Below are 19,515 nucleotides of genomic sequence, written 5' to 3'. Positions count from 1 at the left end.
GAGAGCCCCCCCCACAACTCTGCATGCACTTCCTGAGCCACAAATGTGCCAGGCACTGTGCTGAGTGCCGAGGTCAGAGATGGCAGAGCCCGCCTTTGTCCCAGGCATCTGGGGAGAGGCCAACAGACATTCCACATGGTGGGTGCTGAAAGGATGCACTTGTACTGAGCACCAAGTGTGTGCCAGGCCCTTATTCACAGCCATTGCCTCACCTGTGTTTGCAGAGGCCTGTGAAGGGGGTGCCTTTATCCCCGTTTTGTAGGTGAGGAACTGAGCAGGCCACACGTTTCTAGCCAGCACAGGGGATACAAGTGCTGTCTATAAAGAACTTACAGTTTATTTAAAGATACAAATCTATGACACAGAGTAAAATAATTGCCCAAGATTTGCCTGGACTGGACAGGCCAGCCTCGGAGCGCTCCCAGCCTCGCTGAAGTTAAATCCCTGGATTGAGGGGAATGGCGCAGTGGAGCACCCGCCCTGGGAAAGGGTGGGAGCAGTTGCAGCGAGCAGCGCAGAGCGGGCGCCGCACCTGGCATTCGGAAGGCACGTGATCACTTAAAGCGCCAAGGAATGTACTCACCTGTGAAGAGAAATGTACAGCTGGCATCTAACTGGAAACGTCCAACTGGGGTATTGGCAGACACAACTGCAGCTGATCCATTTTCTTGTGAGAAAATTAGCAGGGTTCCCACCAGACATGATGAATACATCAATTACAGCGGTCGGCCCTTATCCACGGGGGATACGTTCCAAGATGCCTGAAACCACTGATTGTGCCGAACCCTATATTCACTGTTTTTTTCTATGCACACATACCTATGATAAACCTTAATTAAAGTAAATTAGGTATAATAAATGAAAACAATAACTAATAATAAAATAAGACAATATGCTGCAAAAAGTTATGTGACTGTGGTCTTTCTTGATTTCAAAATACCTTATTGTGCTGTGCTCATCTATTTCCAGATTGTGGTTGACTATGGGTAACTAAAACATTGGAAAGCAAAACCTTGGATAAGGGGGACTCCTGAAATAGAATCCTGTGCAATGAAACAGAGCTTCCTGTTGGACGGAGGCAGTGAAAATCACAAACACATATACAATGCTTACTACATGTCAGCCACTGTCATAAATCTTTTTTTTTTTTTTTTTTTGAGATGGAGTCTCACTCTATCGCCCAGGCTGGAGTGCGGTGGCACGATCTTGGCTCACTGCAAGCTCTGCCTCCCGGGTTCACACCATTCTCCTGCCTCAGCCTCCCCAGTAGCTGGGACTACAGGCGCCTGCCACCCCCAGCTAATTTTTTATATTTTTAGTAGAGACAGGGTTTCACCGTGTTAGCCAGGATGGTCTCGATCTCCTGGCCCCGTGATCTGCCCGCCTCGGCCTCCCAGAGTGCTAGGATTAGAGGCGTGAGCCAACGTGCCTGGCCCACTGTCCTAAATCTTTACGTATGTTAGCTCATTAAATCCCTACAACAACCCTATATGGTGGAAAGTATTATTTTCCTCATTTCACACATAAGGAAACTGAGGCATGGGGAGGTTAAAGGACGTCTCTGAGGTCACACAGCTATCAAACATGCCTGGAGGCTTAGAGAATGTGCGGAATGCTTGGGGAAGAACATTTAGGTGGTAGTTTTCAAAATGTGGTTCCCACACCGGCAACTTCATCACCACCTGGGAATGTCGCAGCCCTCTGCATTTCACAGCTCTCCAGGTGAGTCCGGTAGAGGATAGAGTGTGAGAATCTCTGTTTCAGAGCATGCAGTGGCAGGTAAAGATGGCTCGCAGGAAAGGAGACCGAAGGAGGAGAGCTTTATCATCTTCAACACACGCTGATGGGATGTATTCCATGTCTGGCTTGGAAAACAATCTCTTCCTCTCCACTCTATTGGCAAAGTGGGCAGAGCTAGTTCCCCAGAAGGCTTGCATACTGAGGGAACAGCTGGTTAAACCTCTCCAGGGGAGGGGAGTTGTCCCTCAATGTTTGGCCTTGGGAGGGAAGCTGGTTGAGGGAGATGAGGGAAAGCGGAGAGGAGGAAGGAAGATTTGCAGAAAAATTGCACTGTCTGTGGGCAGGATACTCCAGGGCCCTCTTTCCGAACCACTCAGCCTCCATCTCGGTACCTCCCACCTTTGCAGAACTCCTGAGCTCCCTGAACGGCTCCTTTGCCGCCTCGCTCCTGGGCTGGACACACCGTCCGGCTTCCTTTGAGGTTCTAGCTTGTCTTCCTTTTGGCTATGGTTTGCATGAACCCTCAGCCAAAGTTTTCTTTGAGAATTATCAAATAGCATCATAACATCCTTCAGGGAGCTTCCCCCCTGCCCCTACGCTACCCGCCTAACCCGGAACCACTCTTTGTTGGGCCTTGCCAGCCTCAGAGACTCTCACTGAACTGGTCATGATGAATTCTGGGATGGGGAAGGGGCCCCTGTCACAACCAGCTCATCCTCATGGCAAATTTATCATCTCTAAGTTGTTTTTCTGCTAAAAGCATCTAAAAGGAGGCTGCAGAGGTTTATATCTTAATACTTGTGCTGTGAGTTCTTGACTTATGTGTGTGTGAGGGTTAGTGTGTTCATGCTTGCCTAATGGAGGGGCAGTCCTGGGGAACTGAAATATTTAGATTTCTATCTGTCAGACCCATTAAGTTATAAAGTGCATTTCAAATTGAAAATACTGTACAAGGGTTATTCCTGCTGTCTCAGGAATGTTTCAGTTAATTGGATCTTAATCTGGAGTCATAACCCATCTTGAATCGCTCCAGGGATTTTCTGCAATGAAGGCATGATTCCTGCTCTGCGGTCATGGCCATGCCTGCCCAGGCAAGGCTAATATAGAATACATTAAGTATTCAAAACACCTCACACAGGCAGACAATCTCACCTCCTCAGGTCAAATGACCCCAGGTGGTTTCTCCATTGCTATCTTTTTGCTGTGACATATTTAGACGATTCCTTCAGTTCCCCACAATGTTTTCCAGTGGGTATCAAGCTATTTTCTAATTTCACTAAGCCCAACTGTACTTGATGGAAATTCTCTGGACACTTTAGGAATTCTAAAGGTAAATAACTTATTTCTTTAAGCTATCCTAATGAGAAAATGATCTTACAAACTCTGAGTATTAACTTTTAAAACAATTTCAATAAAAGTTTAAAAACTGGGACTTGTGGGTACTATATCGTTTGAATTCTTGCATGTCTGAAGATTTTTCCACCTGCCATTTTTACTGCTAGTTTTACTATTTTTTAAATTTAGATTTTAATTTTAGATTCAGGGGTACATACGTAGGTTTGTAACAAGGGTATGTTGTGTGGTAATAAGGTTTGGGCTTCTATTGTTCCTGTTACCCAGATAATGAGCATAATATCCAATAGGAAGGTTTTAAGCCTTTGCCCCCTTCCCCCTCTTCCTCCTTCCTTCATTTTTGAGTCCCCAGTGTCTACTGTTTCCATCTTAAGTTCATGTGAACCCAAGATTTAACTCCCACTTATAAGTGAGAACATGTGGTATTTGGTTTCTGTTCCTGTGTTAGTTCACTTAGGGTAATGACCTCCAGCTGCAACTATGTTGCTGCAAAGGACATGACTTTGTTCTTTTTCTACGGCAATGGTGTATTCCATGGCATTATGTACCACATTTTCTTTATCCAGTCCACCATTGATGGGTATCTGAGTTGATTCCACATCTTTGCTATTGTGAATAGTGCTGTGATGAACATATGGGTGCAAGTGTCTTTTTGGTATAACAATTTACTTTCCTTTGCGAATACATCCAGTAATGAGATAGCTGGGTTGAGTGACAATTCTATTTTCAGTTCATTGGAAATTTCCAAACTGCTTTCTGCCTAATTGCATTGCCACCAACAGTATATAAACATATAATTTTCTCTACAACCTCTCCAACAGTTATTATTTTTTGACTTTTTAATAATAGCCATTCTGACTGGTAAGAGGTGGTATCTCATTGTGGTTTTGATTTGCATCTCTCTGGTGATTAGTAATGTTGAACATTTTCTCATATGTTTGTTGGCTGCTTGTATGTCTTCTTTTGAGAAGTGTCTGTTCATGTCCTTTGCCCACTTTTTAATGGGGTTGTTTCTTTCTTGTTGATTCATTTAAGTTCCTTATAGATTCTGGAGATTAGTCCTTTGTCGAGTACATGATTTGCAAATATTTTATCCCATTCTGTAGGTTGTCTGTTTATTCTGTTGAGAGGTGTTTTTTTGTTTGTTTCTTTTTTTTTTCTTTTTCTGTGCAAAAGCTCTTCAGTTAAGTCTCATTTGTCTATTTTTGATTTTGGGGTCTTCATCATAAATTATTTGCCTAGGCCAATGTCTAGAAGAGTATTTTCTGGATTTTCTTCTGGATTTTTGTAGTTTGAGGTGTTACATTTAAGTATTTAATCTACTTGCATTAATTTTTATATATGTTGATAGGCTAGCCAGTTTTCCCAGGACCATTTATTAAATAGTGTGTCCTTTCCCCATTTTTTTTTTTTTTTTTTTTGTTGACTGTCAAAGATGAGTTGGTTATAGGTATGTGGCTCTATTTCAGGAGTCTCTGTTCTGTTCCATTCGTTTATGTGTTTGTTTTTGTATCAGTACCATGCTGTTTGGGTTACTGTAGCCTTGTAGTATGTTTGAAGTTGGATAATGTGATGCCTCTGGCTTTATTTTTTCTGCGTAAAATTTCTTTGGCTATTTGGGCCCTTCTTTTTCCTTTTTGACTGTTGTTGCTTTAAAACCTATTTTATCTGATACAAGAATAGTGACTTCTGCTCTTTTTGTTTTCCATTTACATGATAGATCTTTCTCCATGCCTTTACTTTGAGACTATGGGTGTCGTGACTTGTGAGATGGGTCTCTTGCATAGAGCAGAAGGATGAGTCTTGTTTTTAATTACCAATTTGCCACTCTGTGTCTTTTAAGTGGGGCATTTAGGCCATTTACATCCAAGGTTACTATTAATATGTGAGGTTTCATTCCTGTCCTAGTGTTGTTAGCAAGTTACTTTATAGGGTCTGTGGGCTATGTGCTTGTGTGTGCTTTCATGGTAGCAAGTATCGTTCGTTCCTTTATTACCATATTTAAAACTCCCTTAAGCATCTCTTGTTGGGCCAGTCTGGTGGTGACAATTTTCCTTACTGATTGTTTTTCTGGGAAAGAGTTTATTTCACCTTCGTTTATGAAGCTTAGTGAGGCAGGATACGAAATTCTTGGCTGGCATTTTCTTTCTTTCAGAACGCTAAAAATGGGCCCCCAATCTCTTCTGCCTTATGAGGTTTCTGCGAGAGTCAACTGTTAGTGTGATGGATTTCCCTTTATGGGTAATATGACACTTTTCTCTAGCTGCCTTGAAGATTTTTTCTTTTGCATTGACCTTGGCTAGTTTGATGACTATGCGCCTTGGTAATGGTCATCATGTACAATATCTCCAGGAGTTCTCTGGATTTCTTGTATCTGCATATTGACCTCTCTCACAAGTTTGGGAAAATTTTCCTGAATTTTATCCTCAAATCTATTTTCCAAGTTGCTCCTTCTTTTCTTAAGTCATTTATTTGGTGACTTTACAAAATCCCATGTTTCTTGAAGGTTTTGTTCATTTTTAACATTCTTTTTTCTTTATTTTTGTCTGACTGGGTTGATTCAGAGCCCCAGTCTTTGAGCTCTGAAATTCTTTCTTCTGCTTGGTCTAGTCTGTTGTTAAGTCTTCCAACTATGTTTTGAAATTCCTATAGTGAAATTTTCATTTCCAGAAGTTCTGTTTGGTTCTTTTCTAACGTAGTTATGCTGTCTTTCAAAACTTGGATAATTTGTTCTGTTTTCTTTGTGTTGGATTTCAGCTTTCTATTGGAGCTCATTGAGTTTCTTTGCCACCCACATTCTGAATTCTCTGTCATTTCAGACATTTCATTCTAGTTAGGATCCATTGCTTGGTAGCTGGTGTTGATCCTTCGGAGGTGATGAGACACTCTGGCTTTTTGTATTGCTAGAGTTCTTGTGTAGGTTCCTTATTATCTGAGAGAGCTGCTGCTGCTGCTTCTTTCTTTTATGTTGAATTTGCTATTCTTTGAATGAAGCTTCTTGATTTTTAAGCTCTTTTTTCTCTTAAAGGAATGACTGTGGTGTATACTGTGTATGAACCATTGGCTTTGTCTCTGGGCGCTTTCAGTGTGCCAACGCACTGTACGTGTTCCTTGATTGCATACAGGTTCAGGCTGTTGTCCAGTAGGTGGAGCTTAAGATTAAGAGTTGGCAGGTACGGGTGGGGACAGAGGCAATGGAGAAGGGTGAAATGCACGTTCAGTGAGGATGGAGCTGCTGGAGCAGTCCCAGAAGCAGTCTCTTTTAGCCCATCCTCCCTGAACCCAGACAGGAAGAGCTGCTGCTGAGTCAACAACAGTGCATTAAGGAGGGAGGGCAACAAGGAAAGACCCCTCTCTGAGTCTGTTTCAGGCCAACGGTAGTGTCATGCCTGCATTTCCTTTGACTCAAGGGAGGCTTTGGCGGGCTGTGCTGGGTCCATCACTCTCTTAGGGGCCAAGGCTTAGCTCTCTGGGTCTGGGTGTTTTCACTAGCAAAGAGCCTGTCTGAGTTCCTTGGTTACTGTGGCCTCTGTATGGTGGCTTCCCCAGATGCTGGTTGTAGTGGCATATGCTGGGCGTGTGGGCAGGCCTGTGCCTCTTGTGGGGGCAGGGAGGCAGCAGTCTCAGGAGCTCCTCTAGTTCCCCATTGCTCTGCGTTGGTGTTAGCAGATTTTCTATTGTGCTGCCCCATTTGGCCTCTAAGCCAACGAGTGGCTCGGTGGCTTGTATGGGTAGGAGCTGGCTGTGGCACAAGCACCAGCTCTGAGTGGGAGTCCAGTGGGCAGCCACCAGTGCCCAGAGATGTTCCTAGGCGTGGAGCTAGAAAACCTCTTTGGCCCCAAGTAGCTCTGCATGGGAACCTCAGGTGGCTGCCTAAATTCCTAATCCAGGAGAGGGTGGGTTCCAGATGCCTGGCGGCCTGCCTGGGCATGAAGCAGAGAGGGCTCTCCTGTACCAGGATCTCTGCTCAGGAAGGGTGGGGCAACTCAGGCTTCTCATCTGGGTGAGCAGGTGCTCTGAATGCCTGGGGATGGAAAAGAGCGGGTCCTGATGCACCACAATTCCAGAGGAGCAGGCTGGGACCCCGGCAATGACGTGCACAGACCAGTTATAGGTTGCCAACTAGGCGCTGGCCACAAGTCTCTGGGACGAGGAGAAACCACGCTGCAGCAGCTCTCCTCCCACCTCAGACCTGTGACAGGGAAGATCACAATTCCAGTGCCTACTGCTGGGGCACTTTCCACACTTGCCATGAATTCTGGCTGTGTAGGCCCCTAACTTGCTCCAGAGGAAGCACTCCAGTCTCTGGCCTGAGACCAAAATGCATGCATGGCCATGCTGCTGGGTTGCCAAAGAATGACTGACTCTGTATGAGCCTGGATTAAAAAGGCCATCCTGCTCTCAGTCCCAGGTCTGGGAAAATGCCTGCAGCTTTTCTAGGTGTCTTTCTTTCTCAGTGTCTCCAAGCCTGTCTCTGAGTCAGCTCCAGGACTTGGGAGAGAAAAAGTGCTCCCCTCTTTGTGGGTTGCTTGGATCCCTAGGGGATAGGGGAGGTGTTCTGCCCCTCGCAGGTCCTGGGGCTTCACTCACTTTTCTCAGTGGCTGGATGGATACTGTCACGGGGCTTTCTGCCTGCCTTCTCCTCCCTAGGATCTGGGGTGTCCTTCACTGTTTTGTGGATTCCTATTTTCCTTCTTGAGTTAAAACTCAGAGTTGGTCTTTATGCACTATTTTGCTATTTCCAAGTAGCCAGGGCAAGCTAAAAGCCTCTAATCTGCCATGTTAGGGAAAAAACTAGTTTCATGCATGTTATAAGAAATTATTTTCATCAAATTGATACATTCCATTTTATGCTACTAAGTTAAGTGAGACTTCCAATGAGAAGCAGCGCCCACTTCCCACCCATCCCAATCTCTGGCCCTGCTTGCTATGAACAATCAGTTTCATTTCTTGTGGTTCTTACCTCCATATATAATCTGCACACACTGGATAGTTAAAAACATATGTATTGTGGTAAAATCCCCATAATATAAAACAGTTAACCATTTGATATGGTTTGGCTCTGTGTCCCCACCCAAATCTCATCTTGAATTGTAACTCCCACAATTGCCATGTGTCGTGGGAGGAACCTGGTGGGAGGTAATTGAATCATGGGGGCGGGTCTTTCCTGTGGTGTTCTCCTGATAATGAATAAGTCTCACGAGATCTGATGGTTTAAAAAATGGGATTTTCCCTGCACAAGCTCTCTCTTTGCCTGATGCCATTCATGTAAGATGTGACTTGCTTCTCCTTGCCTTCTGCCATGATTGTGAGGCCTCCCCAGCCATGTGGAACTGTGAGTCCATTAAACCTGTTTCTTTTGTAAATTTCCCAGTCTCAGGTATCTCTATCAGCAGTGTGAAAATGGACTAATACATCATTTTAAAGTCAACAATTCAGTGGCATTTGGTACACCCGTTCACAATGCTCTGCAACCAGCACCTCTATCTAGTTCTAAAACATTTTTGTCACTTCAAATTATGACCTCACACCCATTAAGAAATTACTCCCCATTTCTCCCTCCCTCCTGCTTTTGGAAATCACCAATCTACTTTCAGTCTGTATGGATTTATCTAACGGGGACATGTCATGCAAATGGACTCATTCAATATGTGACCTCTTGTATCTGATTTCATCCACTTAGTATATTGTTTTGGAGGTTCATCCATGTTGCAGGATGTATCAGTATTTCATGTCTTTTTATGGCTGAATAATATTCCATAGTATGGATATATCACAATCTGATTATCCATTTGTATTAGTCTGTTTTCACACTGCTATAAAGATACTACTTGAGACTAGGTAATTTATAAAGGAAAGAGGTTTAATTGACTCAGTTCTGCATGACTCGGGAGGCCTCAGGAAACTTACAATCATGGGAAGGAGAAGCAAGCACCTTCTTCACAAGATGGCAGGAGAGAGAGAGAGCGCAGGGGAAACTGCCACTTTTAAAACCATCAGGTCTCATGAGAACAGCATGGGGGAAGCCACCGCTGTGATCCAATCACCTCCCAACAGGTCTGTCCCTTGACACCTGGGGATTACAATTTGAGATGAGATTTGGGTGGGGACACAGAGCCAAATCATATCACTGTTCATCCATTGATGGACATTTGGGCTGTTTCTACCTTTGGGCTACTGTAAAGAGTGCTGCTATGAACATGGGTGTATGTGTATTTGTTTGAGTATCTGTTTTTATTCTTTTGGGTATGTATGTACATAGGAGGGGAATAGGTGGATCAAATGGTAATTCTATGTTTAACTTTTGGAGGAACAGCCATACTGTTTTCCATGGTGGCTGTATCATTTTATATTCCTACAGGCAATGTACGAGGGTTCAAATTCTCCACATCCTGCACAACACTTGTTATTTTATTTTTCTGAGTACTGCCATCCTAAATGGGTGTGAAATGGAATCTCACTGTGATTTTGATTTGCATTTCCCTAGTGACTAATGATGTTAATTTTTTTAATGTGCTTAGCCATTTGTATCTCTTCTTTGGAAAAATGTTCATTCAGATTCTTTGCCCATTTTAAAAATTGGGCTATTTAACTTTTTCTTATTGGTCTGTAAGAGTTCTTCATATATCTGGATACAAGTCCCTTATCAGATAAATGATTTGCAGATATTTTCTCCCATTCTCTTTCTCCCTCACCTGCAGGAAGCCTCACCTACAGGAGCCCTTACTTGTTGAGGGCCATGGGCCCTCTCATGTTATTATTTAACTAATATCAATAGCCCTGTTTCTGTATGGCGTCTTTGGACTCTTCCTGGATCCTGTTCTTCTCTCAGGAAAGCTGGCCCTGGGTTGGGCTTTGCTGCTCTGTCCCCTCTTCCTGCATTCAGGTACTTTGTGGAGCTTTGACCCTAGCAACACCTCCAGCTAATGTTCTGGGACAATCTACTCCTCTTTATTTAGATCCCCTCCCACCGCAGTGGCCCAGTCACACAGAAGGACAGTCATGCTTGTTTATCTACTCATAAGAGAAGGAGGAAACATTTCTTAGAGTGGAACATTGGCCATCAGCCTTCCTGGGCCTGCCGCGGGCTCACTGCTGTGTTGATTCAAGCTGTCCCTCAGCCTGGGTTAGCAGTGGGAGAGCTCTGCGGGTCCACTCCTTCCTGCAGGTGGAGCTCAGGCTTGGCCAGTGCTGCCTCTGGACACCCGCCCAGGCTACTCCCCCTTCTACTCTAAACAGATGTTAGCTTGTCATTGTGTTCACAGGCCGGCCTCATGTGGAGCCCCTAGGAACTGGTCAGAGACTTGAGCTGGCTCTGTTCAAGGGCTCCCCCATTCGCTTGATTATTCATTTATTCCACGAACGTTTCTGGAGGACCTGCTGTGGGCCTGGCACAGGTGACACTGTGGGGCCCTCTGCTATGGACTGAATACTTGTGTTCTCCCAGAATTTCCATGTTGAAATCTAACCCCCAGGGTGAAGGCATTAGGAGGTGGGGCCTTCAGGCCTCTGGGAAGTGATTGGGTTCTTGCGAGGGTGGGGCCCTTGAGAATCTTGAGAATGGGATCAATGCCCTTTTAAAAGAGGCCCCAGAAAGCTCACTGTCTCCTCCCGCTATGTGAGGCGCAGCAAGAAGGCGCCTTCAGGTGAGGAATGGATGGGAGGGTCTCACTGGAGGTAGGAGGCTGCGTGGTGGCCCAGGATGCCTGGAAAGGCCCTCAGGATGGTCTCTGCACACATCAAAGATGACCTCATCTATATGTAAAGATGTTTCTGTGAAAAGCAAAAACCAAAGCAAGCCCTTTCCCACCTGCAGAAAGGCCGTGTCATCTCTGCTGAGGCTCACTGCCCCAACCTGCAGTGATAATTAGCGCCTTTTCCATCACTTGCTCATGCTCAGTGGTGTCCAGGGTTTTTATTAACACAGGATGTCGTATCTGTATTTCACAAAGCTCATAATTGCATATGCCCCGTGCCTGTCTCCAATTCCTTTAAAATGTACCAGGCAATGCGCATTGTATTATCTACAATAGACACATTGATACCTTCCTAAATTAACACTTTGCATTTCTTCAGCAGATGTGAGCCATGAAAAATAGTCCAGCACATTTTGATTGTTCTGTTAATTAAAGTGTTTCTCCCCTGAATATAGAAATCAATGGTTAGCAGGCCCATGAATAATCTTTGGGGCATAATGAAGACTCTGATGGAAAAGAGGTTGTCAAGAAAGTTCTAGAGGAGGACTTTGGCCACAGCGATCTTGGGGTAAGGAGGGAGGATCCGGGACGCTGTTGGTATCATGGCTGGGGTGTCTTTCCAATGGAATAGTTGTATCTTGACACTGTTATCAGAATCCACACATATTCATGGGAATCTATGTGGTTTAGTTGCTTATAGGATGAATTACACACAGAGATAGGCTGGCTGACCTACCTAATACTACAACATAGAAATGCTTTTTTCTTTTAGCTAAAGTCAATTTTGTGTGTGTGTGTAGGGGGAGTGGGGATCCTAGGTCATTCGTTTGTCCACAGTAAATTTTATTGACTAAGAATCTGCTAATTGCATTTGACAGTTAATGGTTCCATTCATTTATCATGTAGGTTCATGCTTCCTATGTTCTTATTTGAACCTCACAACACTTGTGTAAGGTTTGAAAGACAGGTGTTAAAGCCCTCACTTAATACATGGGGGAAACGGAGATGGGGGTTACAAGTTCTTCCAAGTTCACCTGGAGTGTGAGCCAGGTCCCTTAGTCCAACACTGACTTCCCACGTCCTACCCCAGGAACAAATGTGCTTCGGGTGTGAGGAGAGACTTGCTTAATCAGAAGACTTTCCAGCTTCACTGCTCTGCAAGAATGTGGACAGGACGGAGGCCCACCTTCCAGAAGAAAACAGTAAGATCCGAGGTTTACGTTTATCCCTCATGCTTGAACTTTGTCTCCGACATGCAGCAGTAGCCAAAGACAAGACCTCAGAGCAAATGCACTGGAAACCCCGTCCCCAGGATAATCCCCTTTGAGGACTCGGCTCACAAATCCGTTCGTTATTAATACACATATGCATAACTGTATCCTTCTGTGTCCTGAAGGCTTTTGTCCTGATTCTCCACAGAGGCGGAGCCAGTACCGCTCCTCATTTGCGGATGAACACCTGCAGAGCACAAAGCCTCTGCACTCGTGGGGGCTGCAGACTGGGAGCTGCTCCTCGGCCCTAGACAGAATGTTTCTTCAATCCCTTTCCTGGTACCCACAGCCCGGCTGGATATAGTAGGCGAATCCTCCCCATCTAAAATGGCTCTGAAATCAGGCTGGGGAGAGAGAGTGCAAAGAAGGTCAGTACACTGAGCAAGTGCTCAGCTGGGACTGGGCGCCACCCTCCCAGACCTCACCTGCTTCACCTGCCACACGCAGCCACACGCAGCCACACAGCCCCTGATGGAGCCCTGTGCTAGGGAGGCTGGGAGGGGTGAAGTGGCCGCGGCTGAGGTGTGAGAAAGGATTGAGGAGGGTCCCCGTGGGCCTTAAGCCAGGCGTGCCATCATACCTGGCCAGCTAGAAGCTGAGAAGACCTTGGCCAGAGGTCTGCTGCTGTCACAGGACCTCAAACTGAGAAGCGTGGAGTCCATCCTCCTAGGAACAGTATAGCGCATCCCCAGGCGAGGCTGCAGTGGGCCTTCTGTGCCCTAACTAAATTGCCAGCCCTGGCTGTTAGAGCCTGGGGCGCTGGATGTGTGGGGAGTTCATTTCTTTTCTTTTTTCTTTTTCTTTTCTTTTTCTTTCTTTCTTTTTTTTTTTTTTTTTTTTTTGAGACAGAGTTTCACTCGTGTTGCTCAGGCTGGAGTGCAATGGTGTGATCTCAGCTCACTGCAACCTCCGTCTCCTGGAGGTCAAGCAATTCTCCTGCCTCAGCCTCCCAAGTAGTTGGGATTACAGGCATATGCCACCACGCCTGGATAATTTTTGTATTTTTAGTAGAGACGGCCACGTTGGCCAGGCTGGTCTTGAACTCCTGACCTCAGGTCATCCGCCCACCTCCGCCTCCCAAAGTGCTGGGATTACAGGCGTAAGCCACCGCACCCGGCCTGGAGTTTATTTCTCGAGGACCATGGTGTCCTGGCTCGTGCCTGAGCAGAGCTGAGCACACTGCTGTTCCTCTCCCCTGTGCTCCTTTCCTGGACCCTTAGGGTAATTGCTAGCCTCGGAACCGCCGGCCAGGAAAGCCGGGGCAAGTGTGGGGGTAGAGCAGTGTGGGCAAAGACTGTGGTGGCTGGGCTGGGTTGCAGCTGGGGAACAGGCAGGAGGAAGGGAGGGCCAGGGCTCTCTAGGAGTGCGCCTTAGTGTGGGAAAGCAAGCTGCCCAAGGCAGGGTGCACTCAGGTGGGCAGGGCAGAGGCAGAGGCCAGGTGGGAGGCTGTGTGCATCCTGCCTTCTAGGGTCTGTATTCTGAGGCTTTGACATCTAGTGTCTTGCTGACACTGAAGGGACAGCTCCTCCCAGGGTGTCAGTTCCTAGAGACAGGGAACAACTCTGTGCCTTTCCCATGCGAACCAAGCAATCCAGAGTCTTACCCACTCCTCTACGGGACTCTCATACTCCAGGCCACTGTCCCCCTTCCCTAGTCACCCCAAAGTCAGGTCAGAGAACTAGGGACAGCTGCTGCAGAACAGAGCCCCGAGGTTATGCAAAGCAGCCAGTCCTGGACCCGCGGACCCTTGCCTCTCCTCTTTCTTCCCACAAAACCACAGTGAAGACTCCTGCCCATGTTTCCCCTCCTTCTGCCTCCTGACCCACCTCCGTGTTTCTCCGTGGCCCAGTGTGGGTGATGTGCCTCCTCTGGGAACTGTGAGTACAGACTATCTAATGGCAGTCACCTCCTGGTCTGCTGGGCTTCATATGCCTTGGATTTTCTATTAATACACTATATTTTTAAGGCAGGGGCTGCAGAGACTCATGTTGGGGACCCGGGGCCAGATATACTCCTGCTCCCATGGCCTCCCAGCTGCTCCCTGGCCCAGGGTAAGAGCCAATTCCCTGCCCAGCTCTGCCATGCCTGTCTTTGGTCCTCAGAGTCCACTTGACTCCATCTTCAAAATATATCTTGGCCATAAATGCTCCTCACTGTGCCCACCTGGTCCAGCCCAGCACACCTTTCACCTGGGTTATGGTGGTAGCATCTCTACTGGGCTCCCCACCCCATCTTGTTTGCTGGGGTCCATTTCTTGTCCAGCAGCCAGCGTGCTGTTTCTATGCACAAAGGAGATCCTGGATGCCCCTGCTGGAGCCTTCCGGAGGCCTCTTCTGATGCCCAGGAGAGAGAGCACAGCCTTCTCGCGGTGCCCTGTAGGGCTCTGCGTGCCTTGGACACTGCCCACACTCTGGCCTCATGCCCATCCACACGCACCTTCTTGTCTCTCTCAAACATGCCACATCCTGTCTCAGGGCCTTGGCATCTGCTATTCCTGCCATTGGTGTGACTTTCTCTCACTTCTGCACACGATTGCCTGTTTCTTGTTATTCAGGCCTCTCCTCAGATGTCACCATCTCAGCGAGGCTGTCCTTGGCCACCCCTAATAGCACTTCCCTCACCTCTCCATGACACCCATTTCAGCTTCTCCATATCTGAAATTATCCTCTTTATCTGCTTAAGTGTTTATTGGCTACCTTTACCCAGTAGACTGAAAGCTCTTTGAGGGCAGCCGCTCTCCCTCATCCACATCGTGTTTCCAGTTTCTAGGACAAGGCTCGATGTTAGAAGTCAGTGAGCTTGCCTGACTGCTGGACTGCAGGCTGCTCTCAGACGCAGAAACACTGCCCCTTGTATTTCCCTTGGCTGTCTTTTAAATCACATCTCGTATATAAAGTTTTCATAAATGTAGCTCTATTTTCTAATGTGTAGCTATGGTCCTCTCTTTGGAGACAGACCTGCACGCTCTTGTTATCCCCTTCCATGGTGTGATATTCCCAATAGAACCAGAGTGAACGTTGTGGATCAGGGAGGCTACCTGGGGCCTCCAGCACTGCAGAAGCAACATTGAACTGCTCAGAATGCACGCCCTCTCCAGAAGGCTCCATCCCTCCCAGAATGCCAATTAAGGTGGAGAGGCTCCTGTCCCAAGAAAAAATAATCAAGCACCATGTCTTGGAAACAAATCGACACCTGGTCATAGGATCTATAAAACAAAGCGAGGTCTTAATAAAGCAGAAGGGAAATAGATCAAAATCTAAGACAAATGGAGTGTTCTTTGCAGCAAACTCATTCTTTCTTCCTTTACGTTCCCTCAGCTCTGGAAAGCTCTGTAATTAAAAAAAGTCAATATATGTGGGACTTTAAATAATTGATTGATGTTTAAAGCCCTGTCAGAAAGCTCTGTAGTAAGGCATCAAGTAATATTGAGTTTCCCCAGCAGAAGCATCACACGAATAGCCTGCCGGCCATTAATATGCACGCAGCCCTATGATAAACAGTTGTGGTTCTTTTTAATTGGTAAATAATTACAGGGACTATAAAACTGTGAGCTGTTACCCAGTTTCACATTTCGGTTAACCTCCTCCATACCGCGGGGGCTGGGATGGCCTAGCCCTATGTGGGCACAGGGTTGTCCATCAGAACCTGGGGAAGGTAGGGTCCTGGGGACAGCAGAGCTCTGTTCCAATACAGGGATCCTATCTTCTGGGGGAAAGCTCTTCCCTGTTTTCTGGGAAGGCATTTGGAAGTATTTTTCCTCTGCCCAAGCAGAGGTGCTTCACAGTTTGGGGCAAACTGAGTTTGAAGCAGTGGTGGGAACCTTGGGAGGAATGCCGGGCCAAGGCTGGGCTTGGGGATGAGTTGGAGAGGAGGTGGCGCTGCGCTCCAGATCTTGGAGAGCTGTGAGAAGTGGGGAACTAGGCCGCCTTCTGTGGACTGTGGGAAGTTCCAAGCTCCCTGGGCCACAGCCTGGCACTACCCCTCCGGGAAAGGGCAATTCTGTCTTCTCGCCCTCCCCTGCACAGCCTTCAGGGCCAGCTCAATGCCACCTCCCCATGACGCCTGCCCATGGTGTCCCAGCTGAAAGCCTGACAGCACCACCCGGCTGGCCCAAACCGTCTGCGAACACGTGGGGACGTGGGGACGTGGGGACGTGGGGACGTGTGGCTGGGGGAAGGTCTTGTCAAGGCCACATTTTAACATAATTGTTCACTTGAATTTCTCCTCTATGGCGTGCATTTTCAACAGGGTGATATCGTCCTCCAGGGAGAGAAGATTGGTTCCTGGGAGTGCAAATCAACAGATTTTACAATGGTCCATGGCCTCCAGGCCTTGGTCCTACATGGCAAACTCATTCCTCAGTGCTTAATTTCTCTCTAATTAAATTAAATTACTGCACATCTGACATCGTCACTGACATTACTTCTCTTTTCTGTGAACAGCTTTAACAATCTCTACTGCTTTTCCTATTCGTTTCCTTAATTTCTCTCTTAAAATTAATCTCAGTTTTTCTTCTTAGGGGGTGATGATGATAATCACAGTGAAAAGTTGAGAAGCGCTGCCCCGAGGAGGGGTTGAATCAGCTCTCTGGCCTGTGGCATAATCCCAGGTCACAGCTGGCTTGAGGACCCCAGGGAAACATGGAGGAGCACCTTCGAAGGGTCTCAGCAGGCAGAGTCTGCCCTAAGATGCATCCACAGAGGGTCTGGGCCAGTTGGGTGGTGCTGTGAGGCTTTCAGCTGGGGCACCGTGGGCAGGCGTCATGGGGAGGTGGCATTGAGCAGGCCCTGAAGACTGTGCAGGGGACGGCGAGAAGACAGAATTGCCTGTATCGGAGGCGTAGTGCCAGGCTGTGGCCCAGAGAGCACAGAACTTCCCCTGTTCCCTGGGATGGGTTCAGAATGGAAGGATGGAGCCCAGGAGGTGTCTGAGGCTGGAGAGGGGGACAGATGGGCTCGTGGGTCGTGGGCTCCACCTTGGGATCTGGATGTGGAGAGTGGCTCTCCCTCTGGACTCTGAGATGGTGAGGCCCTGTCCCAGCCTGAGCCCTGTGACCTGAGGGCTGGAACGTGCATGCCTTCTGCTTCACAACCTCCTGTAGAGTGAGCACTGTCCCCGCAGGAGGGCAGGAGGGCAGGAGGGCAGGAGAGCAGGAGGTGCGAGCCCCAAGGTCAGGGAATCAGTGGTTTTCAAGCAGTGGTCCAGGCAGGGCTGAAGCCAGGGAAGCAGTCTGTGGGCCATCCACTCCCAGCCAAATTGTGACATCGTCATTATAATAACATCTCTGCCCAGTGAGCCCAGGCTGCTCAGGTTGACCAGAAGCTTGCCAGCCACTTGAAGCCCTGGTGAACTCCTGCTTGCCTTCAACACCCCATGCAAGTGCCACATCCCTGGGAAGTCTCCCCACCTCCAGGCCCCAGATGAAGAGACCTGTTGGCCCTGGGTGGTGAGTGTGGGCACCTCGGCTCCCGCATGTGGCAGCAAGTCTTAGTTTGTTTGTTCTTCTGTGCCAACTTGACTCTGAGTTCCTTGAAGGCATCACCAGAATTCCAGTGCTTAGTGGAGGCTGCTTTATAGTATTTGTTCAGTTGAATTGAATATCCTTTAATTTTTCAGTTTATTTTATCTAACACATCTTTTTAAAGACTCAGGAGGAAAGAGACATATCTGGCCCCAAATTAAGGATGCTTAGGTGAGATCACATCTCTGGTGGTCTGGCATGATGGTGGTGGTGTAACTGGTCTACTCTCAGAGAATGGGCCAGTGGGACCAATGTAACTGGTCTACCCTTAGAGCAGCTGAGGGTAGGGAGGGTGAAAGCCCACCTGCCTTTGGGTGAAGAGACCTGGTTCTGGGTTCAGATCTGCTGCTCTGTTCATTTATACAATGGTAATAAAACTAATAATCCCAATAGTCCCTGACCAGCTCACACTAAGGACTTCTTCTGAGTCCCAAGAAAGCTAACATAACTAAGAACAGATGAGATTCCCATCTGGGTCTTTTCCACCAAGGACCAATCCTTTAGAAACCCCTACTAATGGTAGAAGAGGTGGCTCCTCAGAAAGCACAAAGACCTCACGTGTAGGCTTGGGAGCTACCAAGGATGGTGCCACAGAGCTCCATAAGGTCAGGAGCAGTGCCCAGAACTTGTCTGCTACTCTCTGAAGCCTGTCTCAGGCCTGGGAAGGTCATAGAGACAGTCAATGAAGACAGATGCTGCCCCTTCCTTTAAATGAACCCAATATGTGAAAATTGAATCTTTTATAAAGAAACAGGGAGACTTATTCATAAATATCCACCTCCTTAAATAAATATAAAATAAGATTTAATTTTCAAAAATTGGTTTGATTTTTCAAGAACCATATTCATGTACATATTGTCTAAACTGAGTACATCATTATTCATCTTGGTCACATGGAGCCCTAAGAGCATATACACATTCAAGGGCTTTGTTTCTTCACTGTAGAGGGAGGGTTTAAAGGTTAGACCACAAAAGCTAATTGCTAATCATCTCACAGAGGTTTTAAAAGAGTGCCACCATTTCTCACTTGTCCTGGAAAGTTTTACATACAGGCCCACTTACAGAGGAGAGGTGGATGTAAAGATCCTTTTTCCCCCACCAAAATGAAGGTCTTTATACTCTAAGGTTAGGCTTTCAACAGCTTCAACAATCTGCAACACAGTCTTAACTACAGTAATGAACACTACCACCACCACCACCACCATCACCATTACCATCACCATCACTATCATCATCACCACCACTATCACCACCACCATCATCACTGCCACCACATCACCATCCCTGTCACTGCCACCATGACCACCATCACCATGACCACCACCATCACCATGACCACCACCATCACCACCATCACCCAGCGCCACCATCACCACCATCCCTACCACCACCACCATCACTACCACCACCACCACCACAATCACCACCATCACTATCACCACCACCACCACCATCATTGCCACCATCACTATTATCACCACCACCACTATTACTATCACCACCATCACTGTCATCACCACCATCACCAAAACCACTATCACCACCATCATCACTATCACCACCATCACCATCCCTACTACCACCACCATTACCATTACTATCACTGCCACCATGACCACCACTGTCACCACTACCACCATTGCCACCGCCACCATCCCTACCACCACCACGACTGTGACCACTATCACCATCATCACTATCACTACCACCACCACCACCATCACTACCATCACCACCATCACTATCATCATTGCCACGACCATTGTCATCATCAGCATCACACATCATCACCACTATCACCACCATTGCCACCATCATCATCACTATCACCACCATCACCATCATCACTACTACCACCACCATCACCACCGTCACCCACTGCCACCATCACCACCATCCTTACCACCACCACCATCGCTACCACCACGACTAT

The 19,515-nt window shown here is 47.2% G+C and overlaps 1 long non-coding RNA gene across 1 annotated transcript, besides 4 other annotated features; it reads left to right on the top strand.

Annotated features, from left to right (window-relative positions):
* Positions 6,804 to 7,416: an enhancer, noted in NCBI's record as "H3K27ac-H3K4me1 hESC enhancer chr2:130505293-130505905 (GRCh37/hg19 assembly coordinates)". NCBI's record gives its function as "activates a minimal SCP1, AML or CMV promoter by ChIP-STARR-seq in primed H9 embryonic stem cells {active_cell/tissue: H9 hESC(primed)}" and the evidence as "EXISTENCE:reporter gene assay evidence [ECO:0000049][PMID:30033119]".
* Positions 9,777 to 10,276: an enhancer, noted in NCBI's record as "H3K4me1 hESC enhancer chr2:130502433-130502932 (GRCh37/hg19 assembly coordinates)". NCBI's record gives its function as "activates a minimal SCP1, AML or CMV promoter by ChIP-STARR-seq in naive H9 embryonic stem cells {active_cell/tissue: H9 hESC(naive)}" and the evidence as "EXISTENCE:reporter gene assay evidence [ECO:0000049][PMID:30033119]".
* Positions 10,277 to 10,778: an enhancer, noted in NCBI's record as "H3K4me1 hESC enhancer chr2:130501931-130502432 (GRCh37/hg19 assembly coordinates)". NCBI's record gives its function as "activates a minimal SCP1, AML or CMV promoter by ChIP-STARR-seq in naive H9 embryonic stem cells {active_cell/tissue: H9 hESC(naive)}" and the evidence as "EXISTENCE:reporter gene assay evidence [ECO:0000049][PMID:30033119]".
* On the top strand, positions 11,246 to 12,168 carry LOC124907889 (uncharacterized). The gene is made up of 2 exons (XR_007087236.1): positions 11,246 to 11,358; positions 11,881 to 12,168. It is a non-coding gene; the product is annotated as an uncharacterized LOC124907889 (long non-coding RNA).
* Positions 13,387 to 13,583: a silencer, noted in NCBI's record as "fragment chr2:130499126-130499322 (GRCh37/hg19 assembly coordinates)". NCBI's record gives its function as "represses an EF-1alpha promoter that drives an FKBP-Casp9 reporter gene in an ReSE screen in phorbol 12-myristate 13-acetate-treated (for megakaryocytic differentiation) K562 erythroleukemia cells {active_cell/tissue: K562(+PMA)}" and the evidence as "EXISTENCE:reporter gene assay evidence [ECO:0000049][PMID:32094911]".

This window comes from Homo sapiens, chromosome 2 (genome assembly GCF_000001405.40).
Source record: "Homo sapiens chromosome 2, GRCh38.p14 Primary Assembly".
Taxonomy (NCBI): domain Eukaryota; kingdom Metazoa; phylum Chordata; class Mammalia; order Primates; family Hominidae; genus Homo; species Homo sapiens.
The sequence above is the reverse complement of the archived record's forward strand: the minus strand, read 5'-3'. Positions and strand labels throughout refer to the sequence as shown.